The sequence below is a fragment of the Homo sapiens genome, chromosome 3, assembly GCF_000001405.40.
Source record: "Homo sapiens chromosome 3, GRCh38.p14 Primary Assembly".
In the NCBI taxonomy this organism is placed as follows: domain Eukaryota; kingdom Metazoa; phylum Chordata; class Mammalia; order Primates; family Hominidae; genus Homo; species Homo sapiens.
This window is the reverse complement of record NC_000003.12, coordinates 100,291,861-100,318,125: the sequence shown is the minus strand read 5'-3', so window position 1 is coordinate 100,318,125 and position 26,265 is coordinate 100,291,861. Positions and strand designations below refer to the sequence as shown.

The window sequence follows — 26,265 nt, the reverse complement described above, 5'->3', positions numbered from 1 at the left end:
CTCATGTATCTCCTCCTACTCACATTCTCCTCCCTTCCCCACCAAGAAATACTAATTATCTGAATTTGGTGTTATCAGTTCCATACATGTCTTTGCTTTAACATATATGCATATCCCTAAATAATATACAGTAGTATTCTATACTTAAATGTATATAAATGTATATATACACTTAAATGTATATAAATGTATATAAAAAGTAGACTACTCAACTGCATTCTTCCACAACTGCTACCCTACTCCCAACATCTGAAATTCATACATACTGATACACATAGTTTCAGTTTTCTCACTTTCATTATGGTCCAATTTTCCATATTGTAAATATGTGTGTGTAGATACATGATAAATGTAAATATGACACAATTTATTCATCCATTTGCCTCTCCCCTTTGTTAATGGAAGAAGTTGAGATATTCAGAGAGTTAACAGAAAGAGATGGCAACAGAGAGGGGAAAAAAGAAGAAAAGGAAACAAGCAGAAATATCACATTTACCTCTCTGCAAGTTTTCTGAAAAGTGATTTCATGTATCTATTAAAATGTCAAATGTGATTCCCTATAACCTAGCAATCTTACTTAGCAGTAAGATTTAAAATTTAAAATTCTTAGCAGAATTTACCCTCTGAATATACTGTCATCAGAAGCTAATCTACATATATATCTTTATATAAAGATCCAGTGTCATTTGAAACAAACAAAAAACCTGGAAAACCACCAGTGTCAACTGGAAGACTGACTAAATAAAGTATGGTATGTTTATATGATAGAAGGAGAATGAGGAGATACATGAGCTGAAATGGAAAATATGCAACATGTATTTATTACTAACTGGAAAAAGCAAGGTGAGATTTGGGAGTCTTTTTTTCTCATTCTGTACATTTATATATTTTTTCCCTAACTCAGTACACATATTAACCAATATTAGTTATGACTGCTTACCTAACTCAATACACATATTAACCAATATTAGTTATGATTGCTTAATTAGGATAAGCTGGACAGTAGAATTATAAACCAAAGACTAAATTTTTTTTTTTTTTTTTGAGACAGAGTCTTGCTGTGTCACCTAGGCTGGAATGTAGTAGCATGATCTTGGCTCACTGCACCTCCGCCTCCTGGGTTAAAGCGATTCTCTTGCCTCAGCTTCCCAATTAGCTGGGATTATGGGCATGCACTCCCATGCCCAGCTAATTTTTGTACTTTTAGTAGAGACACAGTTTCATCATGTTGGTCTTGAACTCCTGACCTCAAGTGATCCGCCCGCCTCAGCCTCCCAAAGTGCTGGGATTACAGCGTGAACCACCGCGCCCGGCCTAAATTATTTTTTTTAAAACATAACCACAGAGAAGATAAACTTCCCTGACACAGTATCACCATCTTGTGGCCCTTTAGGATATTGCCTCCAGTTTCAAGACTTCAGATGTCTCAATTTTGTAATTTTCAGTGCTTTAGTCCCACAACTCTCAATCTCCTAGGTGGCTGATCAAAGGAATTTCAATCTGATCAAAGGGATTTCAATCCCATCACTTGGATTTAAATACTATTTCCACACTGATAGCCTCCAAATTATCATCAGTTTAAACCTCTCTCCTTAGCTGAAGACACCTATAATCAACTGCCTCTACTCAACATTTCTGCTTGGATTCCTTTTTTTTAAAATTTTATTATTATTATACTTTAAGTTTTAGGGTACATGCGCACAACATGCAGGTTTGTTACATATGTATACATGTGCCATGTTGGTGCTTGGATTTCTAATACGTACAACAATTCAAGGTGTCTAAAACCAAACTCTTAATAGAAAGCCACAGATTCTCCAATTATTTCTACAGAATCTCATTTTTTTAAAAAAGCAGTTGATTGGCTATTCCCAGAATGACTGCTGTAATCACTCCTAATGACAGCAAAGCTGTCTGTAGCTAAGTGTATTACTACACCTGTGTCGTATTCTTCTTCATCCCCAATGCTGAAAACAGGCTTTACGCCACGGTAAGGCTTGCCCACTCTGTCACTGCTGCTCACATGCCTATATTCAAAGAATTTTAGGAGAGAAATAATCACTTAAGAAGTTATCAAAGATTTTTACCAAGCATCATTTGAATATTCACACAAAATGTAATTATTCCTTACCTGACCCCCCCAAAACCCCATGTACTACCCATAGTTTTAGGAGAGCTATGTTAAGGAAATTAAAAGAAGATAAAGAAATTATGTTAGCAAAAGTGGCATAAGGCCTTGGTAGGCTGAATGCTCTTAAATATGTAAAAATTAAATTTTAAACAATTTCAATATCCATATTAAAACCAATGCTTAGATCTGTTTGGCCTTGCGGAAGTTATTTAGCCTTTTGTGTTTCTGATTCCTCCTCTGTAAAATAGTGCTAACAATATCTACCTGTCAGGGTTATAGTAAGAACTAAATCAGTCAATTTTATTGTAAAACTATTAGGACAATGCCTGGTGCTACCTTCATGTCTGTTAGGTAAAATAAGTTACTAACACCAAATATTCAAATTCCAATATGATTGGTTAAGGCTTCTCATATAAGTGCAGGTGTCTTAAGGGTTATCTTCACATTTTTTTATTACTGTTACTTTTGTTTCAATAGAAATGAAGATTCTACTTTTGTTGTGTAAATATAAGCCATAAAAATGAATCTGCCTCGGCCGGGCGCGGTGGCTCACTCCTGTAATCCCAGCACTTTGGGAGGCCGAGGTAGGTGGATCACCTGAGGTCGGGAGTTCAAGACCAGCCTGACCAACGTGGAGAAACTCCGTCTCTACTAAAAATACAAAATTGGCTGGGCATGGTGGCGCATGCCTGTAATTCCAGCTACTCTGGAGGCTGAGGCGGGAGAACCACTTGAACCCGGGAGGCAGAGGTTGCGGTAAGCCAAGATAGCGCCATTGCACTCCATCCTGGACAACAAGAGTGAAACTCCATTTCAAAAAAAAAAAAAAAAAAAAAAAAAGAATCTGCCTCTTTTTCAAAAGGCAGAGGCATAAATAACATGTAAACTCAAACTTGATTAGGTCTATAGGAAGTGTGACCTTTCTTTGGAATATAAAAATTAATATCCTATTAATTTTCAGGTAATCCCAAATAAACTAACAGGTAAAATTAAAATGTGTCAATAAAATACTACATGTTTCTGAGGGGAAAAGCATTGTTTTACTTGTAGGATAAGGTTCAGCTAAAATTACCTACTACAAAGGAAGACTCTAGCTTTTTTGGGTGTGTGCATGTAACATGAAAACACTCAAAATCTTCTATTTTCAAGAGCTATTCCAATGTGAGAAAAAATCAAGTTACATGCCTTTAGTTATTAGTAGTAGTAGTAGTATTTTAGAGCCAGGGTCTCACTCCGTCACCCAGGCTAGAGTACAGTGGCGCAATCTTAGCTCACTGCAGCCTCGAATTCTTGGGCTGGAGCAATCCTTCTGCCTCAGCCTCCCATGTAGCTGGGACCACAGTGTGGGACCACGGGGGTGTGCCACTACGCCTGCCTAATTTTTTTATTTTTTCAGAGACAGGATCTTGCTATGCTGCACAGAATGGTCTTGAACTCTTGGACCCGTGATCCTCCCACCTCAGCCTCCCAGTGCTGAGATTACAGGTGTGAACCACCACACTTGGCCTTTACTTAGGTTTAGAATTCAAATTTCCCAGAAGATAGAGATCAAATCTATACTTTACACACTATCAATAAAAATTTTTTTTGTGCCGGTTACAGTGGCTCACGCTTGTAATCCCAGCACTTTGGGAGGCCGAAAGATCCGAGGTGGGCAGATCACGAGGTCAGGAGATCGAGACTATCCTGGCTAACATGGTGAAACCCCGTCTCTACTAAAATTTAAAAATCAGCTGGGTGTGGTGGCACGCACCTGTAGTCCCAGCTACTTGGGAGGGCGAGACAGGAGAATCACTTGAACCCAGGAGGCACAGGTTGCAGTGAGCCGAGATTGCGCCACTGCACTCCAGCTTGGGCAACAGAGCAAGACTCGGTCACAAAAAAAAAAAAAAAAAAAAAAAAATTTTGTAGCCTAATTTTGTTGATTTACTTCTTCCAAAATAACATTCCTCAATAAATATAATGAGAGTTTAGTGTATAACAAATATTCTTTGGAAATTACAAGTTAGGTTAATCAATACATAGGCTTAAAGTCTGATTAAATTACAAGTGACATAATCATTTGGTTTTATGTTAAAATATATCTAATACAAAATTGTCCTGTAAATTACCAAACTATGCTCATGAGAGATAGAAAATGATATAATTTGGATGCCTTTGAAACTCAGATTCAGCTTTCTTACAAAAAGCAAAGACAGAGGTAAGAGCTTTATCTAAAAATGCTTTGATGCCATCTAGATTGTAAAATTTTATATAGATTAGATTATAAGTTTTCTCCTAATATTAAGCACAATTAAACTGCCATAACATAAAAAGTAACAAAGATAAATGTTTACAGCGAATAAGCATTTGCTGTAACCAGATAACCAAATAACCAGAAAGTATGAGTAAAGAGATAATCCTAAAAAACAAATTATTAATTGTTAATCAAGATTTATAATACAATGCAAATTTTTTATAAACATGAATGCTAAGGATTATTGAGACATTTCTTGAAAGACTGGCTAAAAATGAATAAAATTCAACAGCTGTACTATTTTTTAAAGCACAATATCTATACTTTTTTTGCCATGGTAATAGTAGAAACATCTATAGTATGGTTTGAGTAGGCTTTAATTTACTGAGCTTAGAAAGAAACCTAATTCATTCTAACTTCTCATTAGATTCTCTTTTCAAAACAAATATATCTACCTGTGGATCAGAGATGATTTAAGTTACAAAAATTAATAATTTGAGAACTTGGGAGTTGAAAAAAATTAGACTAATTCAATGGTCCTGTAACAGAAGAAAATGGAAAGGATGATTCACAAATAGATTGTAATTTTAAAACAAGCAATTTCCTTTAAAGTAGTGCTAGGTAAAATTATTAGCAGAAGTCCTGTAATTGGCGTTGTGTAGGCATAGTCACAATAAATCAAAACTCTTAGAAGATAAGTTATTAGAGGGTGAACTATTATTATTATATTATTATTATTATTATTATTTTTTGAGACGCAGTCTCACTCTGTAGAGACGGGGTTTCACTATGTTAGCCAGGATGGTCTCAACCTCCTGACCTCGTGATCCGCCCACCTCCAACTCCCAAAGTGCTGGGATTACAGGTGTGAGCCATTGCGCCCGGCTGAAAGTATAGTCTTAGAGAGTGAAGTATTATTCTTAAAAATGCTACTTCAAGTCACTGAGAATACTGAAGTGACCCGAGAAAAATTCCATTCCATTATTCCAAAGCTTAACTTACATTGAAAATATGACTAGAATTTATTTTTTTTTCTGGCCCACTTAGGATTTATAGAATTTCTTTTTAAATGTTTGTAGGTGTTGCTGTAATTGATATTCTAAATTAAATTGCTGAAAAATTCTGTGAGTATAAGAACTGTAAAGTCACACAGAGTTAAGTTAGTAAAGTTCTTTTGTTACCCTAATTGAAGATCCAGTAGATTTTTAAACCTTAAACTTATTGTCTTTAATGAGAAGCACCTCGTTTTATTTGGGTTAGAGAAGTGACAGATTATACATTAAAGTAATCAACTACCTAGAAAAAAATGTAATTTTTTTTCAACAAAAACCAAAGGCAGAACCCTAGAACTGTAGTTTCTTGGAAGAGATTTATATATGCTAACTCAACCTATATACATACATCTTATTAAGAAAAATCTAAAAATATAAAATTACATAATGTACACAAATTAACAAAAATTTTGAACCATGAACGGTGCCTATTTTTAGGTGCTATAATTTTCTCTGCTGCTAGGCGGGAGATAGAAGCAAATGAGCACCAAAGCAGATAACCTGCCAACTCGCGACCACATACTTTCTTTGTTTCACCTTCCCCTGTCTCAGAATAAAAACTGCAGGTTTTGAACAAACTTAATTTTCATCTGTGGAATGGGTGATACAAACAAGCATGCAGGAAAAGAAATTAAAATGATCAAGCAAAAAACAAAAAGAAAAGTGTATCAATAAACATGACACACTCCTAAAAAGCAGAATGAGGAAAGTTTAGCATTTGAAATAGCTGCATGAAATTTGAGCCAAGACAGCATGAGGCTTATAGATGGCATGAAGCATATTAAAGGAAAAGGATGGTTCAAGAAAAATGCTCTACTCATTGGCTTACCGCTCTGTACATGATCTGTCTGGCCAAGGAAGATTGAAAGACATTCTATAGCAAATCAAGGCAGAGGACAGAACAAAATGATTATAAAAAAAATGCAACAGCTTTAAAACAAAAAATATGGTACAGTTTAGTTTTTCTCACCCAGAGTGTACATTATAAAGAAGATGTTTCCATCATCCCAAGTACAAAGAAAAACAAAGAAAAGCCAATTTCAACTAATCAAGGCAGCAGTCTTTTTGACTTAGTTATCACCAGTACATTTTAAAACAAATAAATTTTAAAATAAAATTGTAAATGTTCATGCTACAAAATGTAGCAATAATAGTCCTCCAACTCAGAAGCACCAACAAAAGGTAAAAGGGTTAGCTTTTGAGAAGACATAACTTTACTGCATAAACAAGTCTTTCAGGCTTGATAAAACACCTTAGTAATTATCAGTTGACCATTTTAGATAAGGTACAATGTTTTGGATCAATGAAAATAATCTATTACCTTCTCGGCTATTTACTAAATGCAGAAAAATGTGCTTTTGTATGCATATATACTATACTTAATAAAGGGACAGACAACAAATCCCTGACATTCAATTCTTAAAGTAAAATATGTCAGTTTTCCCAGGATACTGCAAGACATGAAAGTGAAACCAAATACTATAACACATTTCCAATATGAGGCTTCCTTAAAACAAATTCTGTGTTGCAATTATAAGGTTAGCTTTGAACTCTAGGAACAAGAAAGATCAAACAGACTTATACGTGGAGAAAAAAATGTATCCTCAGTTACAATAAGAAACAATATATATAACAGATATTTTTAAACTTATTTCTAAATTGTTAACCATGTCCCTCATTTGTAATTTACAAGGAAATGGGGTTTTGTAAACGAAATTCTATGAAGGTCTGATCTTAAACATCAGAAGGTGGGTTTCTGCTATATTTAGCATGACCAGATTTTCTAGGTTTTAAAATCTTGGAGCAGAAGAAGAAGTTCCTACTATGAGATCACTGAATTCGGCAGATGATTCTCCATCCATTTGACATTTGGGAAGCAGCTACTATATGAAATGTGATACATACTGGGACATAAATTTCTTTTAGTGAATGGCATGATGTGACAGATACATTATTTGCATCTTTGAGTAGTAAGAGAGAATAATTATGGATATAAAGTACATTCCTGCAATTCTAATGAAAACTATGAAATCATCTAATAGAAAATATACTTTATAATCCTTTTCTGGAACACATTAAATTCAACTAACATTTACTTACTCTAAGACATTGTTTCTTTAGTTTTAATTACTCATCATAAACTCATACTGTATAAACAACTCACCGATCCACAGGAGTTGATGTATTCTCTATAAAACTGATAACTTTTTCCCTGACATTAACGGATTTTGTCTTCAAAGCCACAGTCATTTTATTTACTAGTGATTTCATTCCTCTATCACTTGAGCCATTAGGAGATTCACCCTAAAAAAAGAACATAATGGATTAACTGCCTCTGAATGACTAAAAGACATACTACTGCTAATGGTTATCTACATGTTATAGACTGAATTGCAATCCCACCAAAATCATATGTTGAAGTCCTAACTCCCAGTATATCTCAGAATGTGACTGTATTTGGAGACAAGGCCTCTACAGGCATAATTAAGGTTAAATGAGGTCTTCAGGTGGTCTCTAATCCAGTCTGACTGGTGTCCTTATAAGAGAGAAAGACATGAGCACATGAAAACAGAGAAGCCATGTAAGGACACACAAGGCAAGGCATCCATCTGCAAGCCAAGGAGAGAGGCCTCAGGATAAACTAAACCTGCCAATACTTTCATCTTGGACTTTTAGCCTCCAGAACAGTAAGAAAATAAATTTACATTGGTTAAGCCCCCAGTTTGTAGTATGATATTTTGTTGCGGCAGCTGCAAACTAATTCATTAGGTGAAATCATTTTAAGAATAGAAGGTAGATGCTGGGCGCGGTGGCTCACGCCTGTAATCCCAGTACTTTGGGAGGCCGAGGCAGGTGGATCATGAGGTCAGGAGTTCAAGACCAGACTGGCCAACATGGTGAAACCCCATCTCTACTAAAAGTACAAAAATTAGCCGGGCGTGGTGATGGGTGCTTGTAATCCCAGCTACTCGGGAGGCTGTGGCAGAGAACTGCTTGAACCTGTGAGGTGGAGGTTGCAGTGTGCTGAGATTGTACCACTGCACTCCAGTCTGCGCGACAGAGCGAGACGCTGTCTCAAAAAAAAAAAAAAAAAAAGAAGGTAGAATAAAAAATTTAGGATATACTTGCACATATATGTGCGTGGAGTCTGACATTATCTTTTTTATTATATAAGAAACAGTTAAAACTACTGACCTTTCTTATCTCAGACTAGTCTACAAAAATAAGCAAAAGTATGATCAAACTACTATTTGCACATATGTGAGTGTGGAGCCTGAAATTACCTTATTTATTCAATAAGAAATAGTTAAAACTATTAACCTTTCTTATCTCAGACTAGTCTTCAAAAATAAGCAAAAGTATAATCAAACTACTATCCATGCAGCTACATTTTTAAATATCCCTTGTAAATGTTTGCTTTTTAAAGACATTGCCACTTAGGCCTTTATTTTCTGAAGAAAAGTTATCCTGATGTACCAAATGTAAGAGATGCGAGTATAATTCTTTTTTGTGTTTTTTGTTGTTGTTGTTTTGAGACAGAGTCCTGCTCTGTTGCCCAGGTTGGAGTGCAGTGGTGCGATCTTGGCTCACTGCAACCTCCGCCTCCTGGGTTCAAGCAATTCTCCCTGCCTCAGTCTCCTGAATAGCTGGGATTATAGGCACCTACCACCACACCTGGCTAATTTTTGAACTCCTGACCTCAGGTGATTCATCTGCCTCGGATTCCCATAATGCTGGGATTACAAGCATGAGCCACCATGCATGGCTGTATTAATTCTTAAATTGTTTCATGGGATTGCTCATATATACCTTCCTAGAAGGCAACTTCGTGATGGGTGTCAAACATTTAAAAGTGATCCTATTTTCTGCCAATTAATTCCTCTTTAGAATTAATGAGAAGGAAGTGCCCAGAAATTTGGGTACTATTTGATGGAAAATTATACAGCCATTACAAACTCATATTATTTTTAAATAGCATTTTAAAATGCTAGAAAATGCTCATATGTTTAGTGAAAAAGCAGAAAATAAAATTCTAGGTATGCTATGATCACTACTTTTAAAATAAAGAAACACATTCACTAAAAAGGGTTTGATGAAAATACTTTAAAATATGAATGGCAAAATTATCTCTGGTAACAGCTACAGGTGATTTTATTTTCTTTATACTTTTCTTATTTACATATGATGCTAAAATGAACATCTGTTACTTTCAAATTTTTTTTTTTTTTTGAGACGGAGTCTCGTTCTGTCGCCCAGAGACTGGAGTGCAGTGGCGGGATGTGGGCTCACTGCAAGCTCCGCCTCCCGGGTTCACACCATTCTCCTGCCTCAGCCTCCCGAGCAGCTGGGACTACAGGCGCCTGCCACCACGCCCGGCTATTTTTTTGTATTTTTAGTAGAGACGGGGTTTCACCGTGTTATCCAGGATGGTCTTGATCTCCTGACCTCGTGATCTGCCCGCCTCAGCCTCCCAAAGTACTGGGATTACAGGCGTGAGCCACTGTGCCCGGCCTACTTTCATTTTTAGAAGAAATGTCATTAACAACAAAAAAAATTATGTTTCTATTTCCATATCTAAATTCAGAGCCAAATTAAACTGTAAAAATTCTTTGGTACTTTGAAAAGAATGCTCTTTAAGATAATTTCTAAAATAGCCTCAATCAGTGTTTTTCAAATCTGAATATAAAAGCTTCAATAGAAAAACTATCCAGTGATGTGAATGGGAATATAAATTAGAATGTTTTTTGGAGAGCCATTTGATAATAATGCAGAAGTCTAAGGACTTTGGTAACATTTTAATCAAGTTATTCCACTTCCAGGACAAAATAATCATGGCATATGCAAATTTATCACTACAAAAATTAAATAGTGTTTGTAACAGAAAAAAACTGGAAACAATGTAAATATTGAACAATAGAGAACTGAATAAATTATAATACACCCATAAAATGAAATATTATTTAGTTATTTAAAGTGAAAATAGCAAACGTTTACTAAGTAATGGTGATTTCACACAATGGCATCAAGTTAAAAATAAGAGTATCAAATTAAAAATAAGATTCTCAGACAAACCTTATCTGCTGATGTGAAAATAATCTGATTTTGATTTGCATGGCTGAAGATAAACCTCAACTAACACAGGTAGTGAGTTACAATTTCGTAATAACTACTATTAAATATCTGGTGACAGGTACTATACTTTCCATTTACTTGCACTGTTAATTCTCAAGTTATCCTTAGAAAGAAGGTTATGTTGTTAACATTTATATTCCACAGGTGGAGAAACCACAGCTCAAAGATCTTGCTGGAGATCATGAAGAAAGTAAGTTGTAGATGAAATCTGAACCCAGGTATGTCAGACCTGTAAGCCCAAGCTACTAACTGTGACCTTGTACTGCAGTTTTCCTTCTATTTCTGTTTTAAAGAATAATCACTAGGTATGTGAGGACCATTATTTATGAATAATTTAATGACATCTAATTCAACTGACATGAAATATTGAAGTACTGGAAAAGCACAAAAGACCTATTACCCAAATATTTCCAAAGAACAGAAAAACAGATTTATCCACTGTAGCAAAACTGGGTAGTAATACACATCTCAATAACTAAAAATCAAATAAAATAGGATTGGCAACTTGTTCTTGTCTTCCTCTGCCTGGCCAATTCTCAAATGTGGATAGACTCAAGTCCAAATCATTTAAGTCTGTGATGGGGATGGGTACAGACATAGTGTGCACGAGATGATTATGAGCCCTAGTATTCTGGCAAAAACTAACTGGGAGATGCCTGGAATCAGCTTGCTTAAGAGTCCCAGCTATTTACAGGACCCAGATTTGTCCCCATTGATATTTAAGCTGGAACATAAAACTGTCACTACATGATACCAAACTACAGCTGGACAGGGAGAAATTTGAATTCAGCAGCTGAACTTCAAGAGCTCCCACCTAGTTTAACTGTGAAGGCTTGCTGTATCATTTCATTAATCTCACAATAAATAATGGCTTGCTGTATCATCTCATTAATCTCACAATAATATGACTCTTCATTGCATGTGTTTGAAATGTTTTGACTCCATTTCTGTTATGGTGGGGGTTTAGTAGTTAATCACCTTTTCTGGGAACTTATCCAAATCCGGTAACATATTCTCTACATATACTTACATCAACAGAATTGATACTGCTCCTTGAGCCTGAGGTACTAGCAATCCAATGGCCATATCCATTTTCTGGTCCATCCACATTAATGTCTGCCAGGTGCTGCTGCAGTGCTTAAGATAAATTAAAAAAAAAAGAAAAACCTAAAATATCAACACTCTTTGGAAAAATTCATTACCAACGAAATACAATAAACATGTCACAGCTGAGAAAAAAGGACTGAAGGAAATAATCACAGGTATTTCTTTCTGCACGTCTGTAAAGGAGTAAAGGCCTCCAAGCTAGAGCAAACCTTCCTATTCTTCCTTCTAAAACCCTCTGTACACGGATAACTTTTCTTAACTGACGCCAATGTGATGATAACTGTATAGGCTTTACGTTTTCTTCTTTGAAAGGAAATCTTTCAAGTATTAACAGATAATTTCTGCAACATTTTTATGACATAAAGGATAACAGAAAACCGATTGTGACTTTTGTTATACCATAAGGAGATATCAATCAATCTCTCCCATAATAAAGAAGCATTGTTAGCCATTAACAGTTACGGAAAGAGAGATTATTCTTGGTAAAGAAATACTTCATGGTTTTAAAAAATTTTCTAAAATCTGGGTTATACTATAAAAGAATGCTTTTCAGACACTTTTGAGAATTACAAGCTTAATAATCAAGTTTTATATCGTTACCAGGATTCCTAATAAATAACACTGAGCCTAGGGCCAATACATGTTTAACACTACTTATTAAAATAACCCCTTTTGTACATCACTCTGGGTATGAACCTCAAAAGTCATTAGTTATCAGGTCATGATATACAGAAGATAATCATAATCCTTGTTAATATCAACAATGACCAGGAGGAAATACATCCTAATGTTCCCAAAATCCTAAGTTACAGCCTAACTCCCATGATTAAAGCCTAAGATTCCATTACCCTCAACATATACTGATTTGATTTTTGGAGCTTCAGTTGCACAACTGGTCAGCATGTGATTCTTACATATTGATTTGATTTGATCATTAATTTTCCCCAGCATTTACAGCTCAGTATTTTTGTAGTATCTCTTTTTCTAATGTAAGACAGGCTCTTTTAAAATCTTATTACTCTTTTAAAATCTTATTTACTGCAAAGTAAAATTCTCAATACTTGCCTGCAGAGATCCTGCCAATTATTTTACTCTCCTAGATTATTAAATATTAGTCTGCAGTTCTGAAAATATCAGTTTATTTTGTTCCACTTAGCTAACATTTTTTAAACAGAGAATACCTTCAAGTAGTTCAAAAATAAAATAACAAAACACCTAAAGAGTCCAAAGGGTATACTATAAAAAGTATTCCTTGAAGTCTTCCTTCCCTGTCCCATCATTTAATCCTTCTTCTCCATAGAGGCAATCATATGGGCAGTTTTTCATTCATCTTTACAAAAATATTTTTTGGAAACAAATCTATTAAAATAGTCTTACATCAAATAGTCACCAATTTCAATTGCCTATTACGTTTGTCTGTTATCTGTAAGTCCTCCTGGCCTTGCCTTTTCTGAAAATATTGAATGAATGAAGAGTCTACCCTTTAACTAATGTGACCACTCCAGATCAACTCTATTGATAATCAATACAATTTCTTCTGAAACATAGAGGAAAAAAACTAATAAATCAAAATCTTACCCATAAATCCTCCACTGGCAATACTCACATATTCTTTGTTTTTCTGTAATGGAAAAGAAAATTTAAATTCTTCCAAAACTGCGACTTAATTAAAACTTTAGCTAGTTCTAAAACACTGATAAATACAATACCAAGTGATACATTAAATTACCGGGCTTTCTCATTTCCTTGACATTTTGGACTTTGGCAGAGAGAGGTATATCCATTTACCTTATTATGCATTGTAAGTTCTGGTGCTTGGGTGGGAAGAAGGGAACAACTTCAAGGCTATTAACAAGTCTTGATTTTGCTTGTATTATTGTTTCAATAGTGCAATGGTCAAACCAAAATTAGTTAAACAGTATTTTAGGATGTAATCAGAGTGATTTTTAAAAGCTTTCAAAATATTTTGGGTCCTTTATTAAAAGATAATATAAAAAGAAACATTACAGCTAATTATGAAGAAATAAGGGAATGTTACCATTTTGCAAACTACTAAAAACATAATGGATCTAAGTAATATAAATAAAAAAAAAGAGAAACACAAAAAAGACATCTAAATAGTATTTATCATCTAAAAGAGGCAGGCATCACCCCCTCAGAACCTCCTTCCCCTAAACAAAGAAGTCTGAACACATCTCTAAACTACTGGCTTACAGAAAATACCAGGGACAGAACATGATAAATGACACCATGTGAATGTAATCAGCAAAATCCAGAATGTGGGGAACTCTATAACACAAATTAACTGCTTTTCCCAACAAATACATGCAAGGAAAAAATTTTAAAAAGGAACCTATAAACTAAAAGAAACTTAAAAGACATCAACCAAATGTCAACATCTTGTTTTAGATCTTAGGAAAATCAGGGAAACTTGAACACTAGTTAAATTTTTTTTAATAAAGTATGATAATGATGTGGTTATGTCTTCATAATGAGTTTATGGCATTCAGTTCTCCCTACTTTTCAATTTCCTTGAAACTTTCCATAATAAAAGTTGGGGAAAAAATGTATAAAACCACATAAAGAACTCGAATAATTAAAAAAAAGTTCACAATATTCCAAACTCTTGCCCTATGACAGCCCTTACAATATACAGTATAGTTTATACTGAAGCGTTTTTATTTTATTTTGTTTTTGAGAATAGGGTCTCGCTCTGTCACCCAGGCTGGAGTACAGTGGCATGACTATGGCTCACTGCAGCCTCAATCTCCCAGCTCATGCGATTCTCCTGCCTCAGCCTCCCAAGTAGCTTGGACTACAGGTGAGCACATCCACACACAGTTAATATTTTTATTTTTTGTAGAGACAGGGTCTCATTATGTTGCCCAGGGTGGTCTTGAACTCCTGGGCTCAAGTGATCCTCCCATCTCAGTCTACCAAAGTATTGGGATTATAGGTGGGAGCCACTGTGCCTGGCCTGAAGCATTTTTAGAGTAGACCAGTTAAATTTATGAATGAAATGAGTTTGGTTCCTTATTTTTGTTATTCTGTATGCTTCTAAACTCTTTCCTTTAATAAAATTTAAAATTATCCTACAATTCCTCTCCCAAATATCCTGTTCCTTCTCTGATTTTGCTTTTCAAGGATTTCATCTTTAAACTAATTTTTTCAAACCAGATTCCCAGTAAAATACAACATAAATAGAAATGAATCCAAATTGAGTGGCTTGTGTACCATGCCTACCATCTTGCTGATTCCATAGTTCAGGACCATACAAAGTAAGGACTTTAATACATAAACTGCCAAAGAATACCTAATAAGCAACTATTATAATAAAAAACAAGCCATCACTGAGTGACATTTTTAAAAAAGCAGAGAAACAGGTTGCATAAAATCACTAATTCAAATTAGTTGTGTTGAAGACAATATTTAAACACAAAAAGGAAAGATGGCTAGGTGTTGTGAATGAATATGCATATGTATTTATTCAGTTTCAAATGAAGATATTAAAATGAATCATATAGTTACTGTAAAAAGTACTAGGACATAAATACACATAAAGATCAATGTAACATAATAGGCCAGGCACAGTGGCTCATGCCTGTAATTCCAGCACTCTAGGAGGCCGAGGAGGGCGGATCACTTGAGGTCCGGAGATCACTATGTCAGCCTGGCCAACACAGTGAAACCCCATCTCTACTACAAATACAAAAACTAGTCAAGCGTGGTGGCGTGTGCCTGTAGCCCAGCTACTCGAGAGGCTAAGGCAGGAAAATTGTTTGAATCCAGGATGCAGAGGTTGCACTGAGTCAAGATGGCGCCACTGCACTCCAGCCTGGGCGACAGAGCAAGACTCCATTTCAAAAAAATAATAACAAATAGAAAAAAAATAAAAGATCAAATAACATAATAATCCAGAAATAGATCTTGATGCATAGAGGAACTCGGTATATTAATAAGGTGGTATTTCAAACTGTACAATTTGTAAGCTATCTGGAGAAATATTTTTTAATTCCTATCTTACTTCTTACACAAAATAAATGCCAGATGGTTTGAGTTAAATATAAAAAAATCATATAAGCATATGAGAAAAATCTGGAGAAGACCTTAACAAGTCACAAAACCAAGAAAAGTACAGATAAATCTGACAAGCAAAAAGTTATCTATGTAAATTTTTTAAAGGTGATAACATTAACCAAACAAAACTGAAATAATTTATGTCAGCATACCTGTAAAAAGTGTGCCAGGACCATGTTCATATACATGTCTTCTTCCTCCCTGCCACTGCCCATAAAACAGAGGTGCTCCCCACCAGCTATGGAGCCAGACTCAATGGACTGCTTCTGTGCTTCCAGCAAGGATTTTACTGACTGTGCAAACTCAGATGGATTCTGAAGCATCTAGACAATTTTTTTAAAGTTAAAAACTTGACAAGCCTGTGTTTCACATATATTTGTAAATTTGAAATTTTTTTTAGGAAAAACCCCAATATTTAAAGAGCCACAATGAAAATGAAGGGGAAAAAAAGGCTCTTATAAATAAAATCCCTGGGATAAGAGAAATATTTATAAATGTATCTATAATACAATAGAACAAAAGTTGAACATTCACACAAAGATTGATGCAAAGAAAATAATTCTCTACTAGAGAAAAACTGTTTGTTGTTCTTGTTTTTTCTTAAATAACAAGTAGCAACAGTATCCTTAGATATCAAGACAGAAAGAGTATAAAACTATAGATCAAAACAAGCTCTATTTTTTAGTTTCCCCTTAGATGGTAAACCATGTGTTTCTTAGAGGATTGTCAGAAATAACAGAAGGCATTTGTTTATCAGCACTATTCCAGGTAACGGAGACACAAGGATGAAATATTCATTTCTTACCCTCAAGGAAACAAGTACGACAATAACTACAAAGATGTTTAAAAACTGTTTTAATGGAGATACACAAAAAGTATGGTGAAAAATAGAAAAATGGACAGATCATATAGAAAAGCAATTTGTAAAAAACAAAAGCAAATATAAACAGCACACTCACAAAAAATAATGTTCAACCTCATCGGTAATCACAACTATTTTTCACTCATCACTCTGGTAAGATAAGAAAAGATTGATAATATCCAATAATGCCAATGGCATTCTCATTTAGAGTTCTGAAACGTAAGAAGGTTCCACCATTTTTTTTTTTTTTTTTTTGAGACGGAATCTCCCTCTGTCACCCAGGCTGGAGTGCACTGGTGCGATCTCGGCTCACCGCAACCTCCGCCTCCCAAATAGCTGGGTTCCACCTTTTTAAAGGGCAATACGGTGGTCTCTAGTAAAATGTATATATCCACACACCTCATCAAAACAATTTTACTTTTAAGAATCTATTTTACAGAAATATTTGCATAAGTTCACAAAATGTATAAAAAGATGTCAAATGCAGCATTATTACAAGAAAACAAAAAATAACCCACATATACATCAATCAGGCAATAAATTATAGTATACCTACATGTACCATGGACCACTATGCATCATTAGAAAGAATGTACTTAAATCAAAAGATCTCTTAGAAACTGTTACGTGAAAAATCAAGTGGCAAAACAAAAAATATGTAAACAGATATTAAAAGTCTGGAAGATTACGTAAGCTGATAATATTCTTTAAAAATTTTTAAAAATTCAAGCCGGGCATGGTGACTCACGCCTGTAATCCCTGCACTTTGGGAGGCCAAGGTGGGCAGATCACTTGAAGCTGGGAGTTTGAGACCAGCCTGGCCAACATGAACCCCCTCCTCTACTAAAAGTAAAAAAAATTAGCCAGGCATGGTGGCGCACACCTGCAGTCCCAGTTACTCGGGAGGCTGAGGCTAGGGAATCGCCAGAACCTGGGAGGCTGAGGTTGCAGTGAGCCAAGATCATAACACTGTACTCCAGCCTGAGTGGCAGAGTAGAAACTCTGTCTCAAAAAAAAAAAAAAAAAAAATTAATTCAAGTATTCATGAATCACTTGAGTAAATTTTTAAAATAGGAAGGAGAGAGGAATCAAGGAAGAGAAAGGCACAGAGTTCACCTACAGAATATGGATGAGCTAAGATGGCCTTTCTCACAATATCTGTTAGTTCTTCCTCAATATTACCTAGGCCCTTTCACACACCCTTTCAGTTCAGCATCAAATTTTTCAGACGAGTTGGGAAGGGGAAAGGTAGACTTAACATTTAGCTAAGAGGTTTCTCATCCCATTCCTGTGTTCCCCATCCCTGAGGCTTTAATGATCCCAGAATGGCTTAAATGATGTTAGCCTCAATTCTACCAACAGCTCTATACATCTCTGACAATTATTTACCATTCTTCAAATTAAATGACCTAGGATAGTAGTTTTAATAACTAAGTACTTATATGCCAGATACTACCCTTATTAAATATTAGTTTATTATATGCATAAATACTCATGATTAAAAATGGCTCATACTATAAAGCCTACAGAATTCTTACTCAATTACAGTAAGAGCTGATATCCAGAGAGTACTTAGTAGGTGCAGTGCACTATGCTAAGTGCTATACTAGGTAGCTCAAACTAAGTTCAGAATTTACTGACATAAAAATGGTAAGCGATAGTAAGCCATAGTGAGCATTGTTTTCAACTACCCTTTATAATGCCAAAAGGGTATCTGGGCTGGGCGTGGTGGCTCACGCCTATAATCCCAACACTTTGGGAGGCTGAGGCAGGGGGATCACCTGAGGTCAGGAGTTCGAGACCAGCCTGGCCAACATGGTGAAAGCCCGTCTCTACTAAAAATACAAAAAATTAGCCGGGCCTGGTGGTGGGTGCCTGTAATCCCACCTACTAGGGAGGGTGAGGCAGGAGAATAGCTTGAACCCAGGAGGCAGAGGTTGCAGTGAGCCGAGATCGCACCATTGCACTCCTGCCTGGGCAACAAAAGCGAAACAAACAAACAAACAAACAACAACAAAAACACAAAAGGGTATTTGGGTGAAAAGGAAACCTGACAGCAACACTTTTCTCATAAGGGCAGAGACTCCCTCCTTAAGCAGAAAGAAAAAAATTCCCCAATCTGGGACCTATATATTTATTTATGAACTGAAGGAAAAAAAGTTACTTTAAGAATAATTAATCAGCATTTATACTAACCAGGTCTGAATCTAAGTGGAAAGCAGTTGATAAATGCCCAGCATTATATTGTTCTGCAGGACGGCAATCCACCACAAAGAACCGGACTCCTTCCTAAAACGGAAACAACATTTGACATACAGGAATTTCCCATGAGGTTCACATTGCACAACATAATATTCACAGTTAACCAAATAAAGGGAACAAGTTCATTAAAAAATGGATCTCACATGGAATTGGGAGGACCTAGTTAGCACAGAAAATAACCCGAAGGTCCTAAATACTTTTATTTCTTTTAAACAGTTAAAACATTTTTCTTTTTTAGATGTTGTTCTTTACTGGAAAGTCTTAAAATACATAGAAGGAGAGTGTCTGTTTGAGCTATAAAACTAATTATAATTAATTATAAAACTAATTATAAAACGCTATATAGTTATAAACACAACTCTAGATATGCTATTCTTTTTTGCAAATAAATCTGCAAATTTATCAACAGCTCAATTCACGTAAGAACTAAACATCTATTTCGTGTGGGGGGATGAAGGGAGAATGTTCTGAAATACCAGTTTCAACTAAAGAAGTTCACATGGATCTCTTTAAACTGGATAACATGTTTTCATTTGTTTTTAAATATTAGTTTGAATAAGAAAAAAGTGAGATGCTTGTATTTTGAAAATCCTCAATAACCAGCGCAGATACAGTAAGAAATCCAACTAAGAAAGATCTACCATAAAAGGCTATTTTCCCACGTCCATTCCTTTCCTGCCCTCAACCTTGGAAATACACTACACCTTCCAAATACACACCATGGTTAACTGCTGCACTACTAGTAATAAAGACCATATATTAAAAACATCATTGGTCAAATTGACTTATTAGATTTTCATGAAGAAAATTTCATTTTCACAATTCTCCTTTGCTATAAGTTGTATGGAACTAAACCATGTAATTCAATTAGCTGTAAACTACCAGAAACTGTTAAATGCTAAATTCACCCTTTTAAAAGTATTTTATACAATGCCACATTCAGTTGCTCTACTGAAATATGGAAAAAAGATACGGCGATTTACAAAAACTGGTGTCAAGAATGTCAACAATAATTAATTGTAGACAATTAAAACACCACACAAGCTGACAAGTTTTAAAATGACCCTCTGAACATAACATTTAACACAATCATTCAAAAAGCCAAAAGAGCCACCTTGTTGCAGTAAATTGATTTTGTGGGAATCAATGAACAGGGAGGAAGTTGGTTCCTTGTATTTAAAATGAACAGTCCCCTAACAAACTGGGTTTCCTTTACTTACCCCTTGTAGCTGATTCGCTTGAAGGATCTCTGACACGGAGATGGCCAGACAAAGAGCCTGACTCAGATCTGCATCATCATCCTTAATTCCCAACAAAGTACTACCAAAGAGATGGTGATTATCCTGTTTGAAGGGAAATTTTTAAACATTATGAAAAAAAAAATCAAACTTTCTTCCTAAAAATATTCTTATTAAACCATGATAAAAGGTAAAATTATAATACTCTTGAGTTGTGATTTTTTAAAACTTAATACTACATAATCTCAAATTTTATAGGCTAAGAACTACAAAAATGTCACATAAAGTCCCTGTCAGTGTTCATACAAAATGAAAGACTAAGAAAAAAAAAACACATTCTAAATAGCTATTTTCTATACTACCACCTGTAGTTAATATTGAACTTTAAAAATGGTTACTTACAATTTTTCATATCTTAATAAAAACAAATATGTGGCAGAAATCTATTGCATAAATGAGTTAAAATACTGATCCACAGCCTGCTCTAATTCACAACTGCTAGTACAGTTTCACTATGTCTGAAGAATAAAAGGTGCAGCTCTTGAATAAGAAAAAAAATAAGACTTCTTTTTCATTCAGTATTTTAAACTACTATCCTACCATCTGACTTATACAGCATTGTTAGGAACTGAAGAGTTCTATATAAGAAAATTATTAAAATAGTTGAAACTGGTCCCTAGAAATAAGTCTTTTTAAATTAGTTATTTTTGAGGGAAAATGATCTTAAAAGGTTTCCTTTACCTGCTTTCTAAAACACAGTATACTAAACATAACTTAACTTTATCTTGACACTTCAGTGACACGATGAGTACCAACTAGAAATTATTATGGCAGAATGCTTTAAAAAAAAAGGTGCTCTCATGGGCACCTGAAGTCACATACAAACCTGTCTGCTTTATAAACTTGTGCCTCTTCCACTATTAGCTTTTGCTTCTTAGAGTTTCATTTTTCAGGAGTTCACATCACTCATACTTCTAATCTGGTGTCCTTTATTAGGCATCTGTCTGGTCTAAGGATCTAAGTCTTTACGGGGCCTAAATGACCTTTCTTTATAAGACAGCTCAGCATTATTAAGACTATACAAGCCTGAACTCCAGAGAAAAGTGGCAAAACTCTACCTCCTCCACTGGATTACTACTGTAATATAATTTTTTTTTTTTTTTTTTTGAGACAGAGTCTTCACTCTGTCGCCCAGGCTGGAGTGCAGTGGCACAATCTCAGCTCACTGCAAACTCCGCCTCCTGGGTTCACGCCATTCTCCTTCCTCAGCCTCCCGAGTAGCTGGGACTACAGGCGCCCACCACCACGCCCGGCTAATTTTTTGTATTTCTTAGTAAAGATAGGGTTTCACCGTGTTAGCCAGGATGGTCTCGATCTCCCGACCTCGTGATCCACCCACCTTGGCCTCCCAAAGTGCTGGGATTACAGGCGTGAGCCACCACGCCCGGCCCTGTAATATAATTTTTAAAGTCAAGAAAGCACTAATTTAGAAAATATCTCAGTCAATTTTCTTATGATCAGAAATAACAATAATCAGAAGAGAGGTAAGATGCGTTCTACTATCTTTTTAACTTGTCTGTTCCTCCACTAGGGAGGGTATTTACAGAGATGAAAAAAAAAAATCACACAAAACTACAACACATAAAGAAACAGAAAAAATTGACAACCTATTTTAACTAAAGTGAATATAAAGTAATAAAACAATGTACAAAATATGAAATACAACATAGTTGGTCATTTCTGGTCTTATACCTTCCTAAAAGAAGCCGGTGTTTTGCTGCAATAATACTGAGCCAGAGAGAAAAGGTCTTCTATATCTTCTATATTCAGACTGGATGGAGTATTTTCCAAGAACTCTGAAATATTATAGACATAATATTTAGTAGTTTGTGAAAAATGCAAATATTGTTTATGTATCAGAGCCGAAATATCTTCATCATAAATACTATGCAAATGGAGTCTCAACACTGGTGCTTTTACAATGACTTGTGGAAAAGTGGATTTCTCCAAATGAGCTGAAACGGCTAATGTAAATCTCTTGTCAGTGAAGGATAGTGTCAGGCAATCAAATCAAATTCATTAACCTTAATTAGAATTCTATGATTTATTTATTAAACATATATGAAGAAATGCCAAGGCCCCTGAACATAAAAAATGCCTAAGAAATAGTTACTGACTTAAAGAACTTTGTCTTGTGTGAAAAAATAAAAATAAATCATTATAATACAGTAAGATAAACATTGTTATACAGATAGAACAAAGTGCCAGGGAATATAGAGAGGAAGTAACTATCTCTATGTGGGGGATATGGTGGGGAGAATCCAAAAGGAGAACCAAGGTTTCACAATTGAAATATCATATAAACTGAGTATTGAAAGGTAAATTAAGGATGGGTAGGGAGGAACAGAGGAGGGCAATCTATTCGAACAGTGAAACTAATGAAATAGTATATGGAAAGGAATGAAAGAGTGAACAAATATGAAGGAATGAATGAAGATGGCAAAATAAAGGAAAATAGTCTTTAAGGTCTGTACCTGGAGAGTGTTTATATAATCTGAGAGTTGAATGGAGCCTCAGAGCTCTTCTAGACTAATCTCCTAAATTTACGAATGAGGAAACTGAGTAACTTACACAGATAAAGAGACCTGAAATGTTTTCACTACATTAAATGATACTTACTGATAACTTCTTCTTTGCTGTCTGACTCTTGTGTTAAAATAACTTCTCTGTAAAAGGGAATCAAATCAATTTGAGTTAAATATTAACAGAGCACCCTGAGAAAAGAGGAAAAAAAATCTAACCAACCAGATACTTACTTTGCATTAACAAGGATAATTAACATTAAGAAATAAATAAAAAATGGATCTGCTTGTTGTAGATATCCATCCCATATTGCCTGAGTGACTTCAGTGGAACAGTAACATGCAAAAAGACTTCCAAGCTGTAATCAGGAAATGAAATGAGAGACATAAACCACTGGAGGTGACTTGTTCTCTTAAAAGTATTAAAGCAAATGAATAAGAAACATTATATCAAATTATCTGCACCTGATATTTAATGCGTACCTTAATCTTAGTGTATGAAATCCAAAGGCAAAACATGTGAATTCAAGGGACAATGGAGCCACATATTAACTGTGTGACTTAGGACATGTCAACCTCTTTAAAGCTTCCATTTTTACTTCTGTAAAAAAGAGGAATAATGCTACCCATCTTCTACTATTATTGTGAAAAGAATACCTAAAGTAACTAGCACATATCTTTGCCATAGCATAACTAGCATAATTATGGTCTGAGCTCCATAAGAGTAACTAAAATAATTACAATATAATAACAGCACAGTATTTAAATTACAAGGTAATTGTGAGGATCAAACGTGGTAATTTAAGAGCAGCTAATAAAACTTTAATCATAATATAAATATGAATTGCTCCCAAAGCTCACTTGTACATCACTTGAAAGAGATTAGGCCGGGCGCAGTGGCTCACACCTGTAAACCCAACACTTTAGGAGGCCAAGGTGGGTGGATCACCTGAGGTCAGGAGTTTGAGACCAACCTGGCCAACATAGTGAAACCCCGTCTCTACTAAAAATACAAAAATTAGCCAGGCATGATGGCACGTGTCTGTAGTCCCAGCTACTTGGGAGGCTGAGGCAGGAGAATCACTTGAACCTGGGAGGCAGAGGTTGCAGTGAGAAGAGATCTCACCACTGCACTCCAGCCTGGGTGACAGAGTGAGACTCTGTCTCAAAAAAAAAAAAATAAACACAAAAAAAAATAAATAACATTCATATCCTTCAATAAATTTCAGGAGCTAAGAGTTGTTAATTTATAAGCAACTCTACAGCCCAACTGTGTTTTAAGTTGCATGAAGTAATATTTTTAGATCATTCAACTTTCATTAGATACAGAAATAATTCCATCTACAAGTTTAAATTTAAAAAATTTTTAACAGCTAAAGAGAATTAACGGGAACACATATATTTAGTGCACTCTTTGTGCAATACTAAGCTAATACTAAACTATTATCACATACCATTAAAAATATCTCTTACTTAAATTCTCACAACAGGTGTGCAATACTAAGCTAATACTAAACTATTATCACGTATCATTAAAAATATCTCTGATTTAAATTCTCAAAACAGGCCTGGAAAGTAAACACATTTCTCCCCATTTTACAGGTGAGAAAGTAGATTTCAATTACTCCCCATTTTTTTCAGGCGAGGAACTTGGATTACTTTACTTTCTCAAGCTCACAGAGCTAGTGAGTGGTGTTGGGAACAGAAAAAAGCCTGAGATTCCACAGCCCATGTAATTGCCATCACACTTGACCACAAGGCTTTTAAAATACATAATGCTACTAATGTTTTTTGTGGTTGCTTTAAAAATTACGATTACAAACACAGATTAGAAGAGGTACATACAAACAGAATAGCAATACACAGTCATCTTTAAGCTCACTTAGCTCAACGAAAGTTACCACTGCATTGCTCACAGTGGTTTAGGAATTACTTTTTAATTGTTTCATCTCATGATACTTAAAAAACTCTATTTCATCAACATGATACTAGTAGCAAGAGTAAACTATCTGAGGCCAGGCACAGTGGCTCACGCCTGTAATCCCAGCACTTTGGGAGGCCGAGGCGGGTGGATCACGAGGTCAGGAGATCGAGACCATCCTGGCTAACATGGTGAAATCCCATCTCTAATAAAAATACAAAAAATTAGCCGGGTGTGGTGGCGGGCGCCTGCAGTGCCAACTACTCGGGAGGCTGAGGCAGAAGAATGGCGTGAACCCAGGAGGCGGAGCTTGCAGTGAGCCAAGATCATGCCACTGCACTCCAGTCTGGGTGAAAGAGACTCCGTCTCACAAAATAAATAAATAAATAAATAAGTAAACAAACAAACAAACAAACAAACTATCTGGCATATCAGCTGAAGAGAAACCACTCAGTTTAAACCTCCAGCTATCAGCACGAATTCAGAGCTCTGGCATCAGAAATGGCATTTCCTAGGCAGAGAGACCTCTATTATTAAAATGCCTAAGAAAAATAGTTTACTACCTTAACATAAATAGGTAGATTCAGTGGCAACATATGAATCTCAGAGAAGCTACAGTTTTGACAAGACTAGGCTTGGCTCACACCTGTAATCCCTGCACTTTGGGAGGCCTGCGTGAGAGGATTGCTTGAGCCCAGGAGATTGAGACCAGCTCAGGCAATATGGTGAGACCTTGACTCTACAAAAAAATTAAAACATTAGCCAAGTGTGGTGGTGCATGCCTGTGGTCCCAGCTACTCAGGAGGCTGAGGTGGGAGAATCACTTGAGCCCAGGAGGTGGAGCTTGCAGTGAGCCAAGACTGTGCCACTGCACTGCAGCCTGAGAGACCAGAGCAAGACCTCGTCTCAAAAACAAAAACAAAAAACTGACAAGACTGTGGCCAAGAGGGAATTAAAGAACAGGTTACTGAGGTTTGAGATTTAATGAGCCCAGAAGTGAAACCAGTTAGAATTCTCCAATTACCCATTTCCTGATTGTTAACTCATCCTATCATCCTCTGAAGTAGGTACAGTACTATTATTTCCACTTTGCAGATGAGGAATTGAAGCTCAGAGGCTGTCTTAGATCACACAGTTAATAATGGGAAGAAATGGGATTCTTCCTGAAGAAAAGTTAAGTAATACATAATAAAAGGATATGAACATATAGTCTCCTAGGACCCAATCATTGTTTTAGAAAGATCTCAAGTTAACCAGAAGAGCAGCAGTTAACCAGAAGTGTGGTCTGGGGACCTCGTAGAAGTCCCCAGGATTCTTTACAAAGGATCTGTAAGGTCAAAACTATTGTTACACAAATATGTAGAATTTACCTGCCTTTTGCATATATATTCCCTCGAAAATGAACAATAGAATTTTCCAACGCCTACATGATATGTGATATTATCACAGATTGAAATAAGGGCCAGGTGTGGTGGCTCAGGCCTGTAATCCCAGCACTTTGGGAGGCTGAAGTGAGCAGATCACCTGAGGTTAGGAGTTCGAGACCAGCCTGGCCATCGTGGTGAAACCCCGTCTTTACTAAAATTACAAAATTAGCCGGGCATGGTGGCCGGCACCTGTAATCCAAGCTACTTGGGAGGCTGAGGCAGAAGAATCGCTTAACC

The 26,265-nt window shown here is 35.8% G+C and overlaps 1 protein-coding gene across 4 annotated transcripts in view, besides 1 other annotated feature; it reads right to left on the bottom strand.

The window, feature by feature from the left end:
• Positions 1-26,265, bottom strand: part of TBC1D23 (TBC1 domain family member 23) — a 64,247-nt gene that overhangs the window by 7,113 nt on the left and 30,869 nt on the right. For 2 of the 4 annotated variants that reach the window (NM_001199198.3, XM_017006841.3), the window contains 11 exons: positions 22,915-23,039; positions 22,778-22,824; positions 21,851-21,954; positions 20,081-20,203; positions 18,795-18,887; positions 15,889-16,059; positions 13,238-13,280; positions 11,583-11,689; positions 7,584-7,723; positions 6,249-6,293; positions 1,939-2,027 (listed from right to left, as the gene is read on the bottom strand). In NM_001199198.3, the coding sequence (NP_001186127.1) occupies positions 1,939-2,027; positions 6,249-6,293; positions 7,584-7,723; positions 11,583-11,689; positions 13,238-13,280; positions 15,889-16,059; positions 18,795-18,887; positions 20,081-20,203; positions 21,851-21,954; positions 22,778-22,824; positions 22,915-23,039 (1,087 nt within the window). Of the gene's footprint in view, positions 1-1,938; positions 2,028-6,248; positions 6,294-7,583; positions 7,724-11,582; positions 11,690-13,237; positions 13,281-15,888; positions 16,060-18,794; positions 18,888-20,080; positions 20,204-21,850; positions 21,955-22,777; positions 22,825-22,914; positions 23,040-23,163; positions 23,282-26,265 lie in introns of all 4 variants that reach the window. The other 2 variants (XM_047448562.1, NM_018309.5) reach the window with 2 other exon arrangements.
• Positions 1,295-1,474: an enhancer, noted in NCBI's record as "active region_20153". NCBI's record gives its function as "activates an Ori minimal core promoter by ATAC-STARR-seq in GM12878 lymphoblastoid cells {active_cell/tissue: GM12878}" and the evidence as "EXISTENCE:reporter gene assay evidence [ECO:0000049][PMID:35858748]".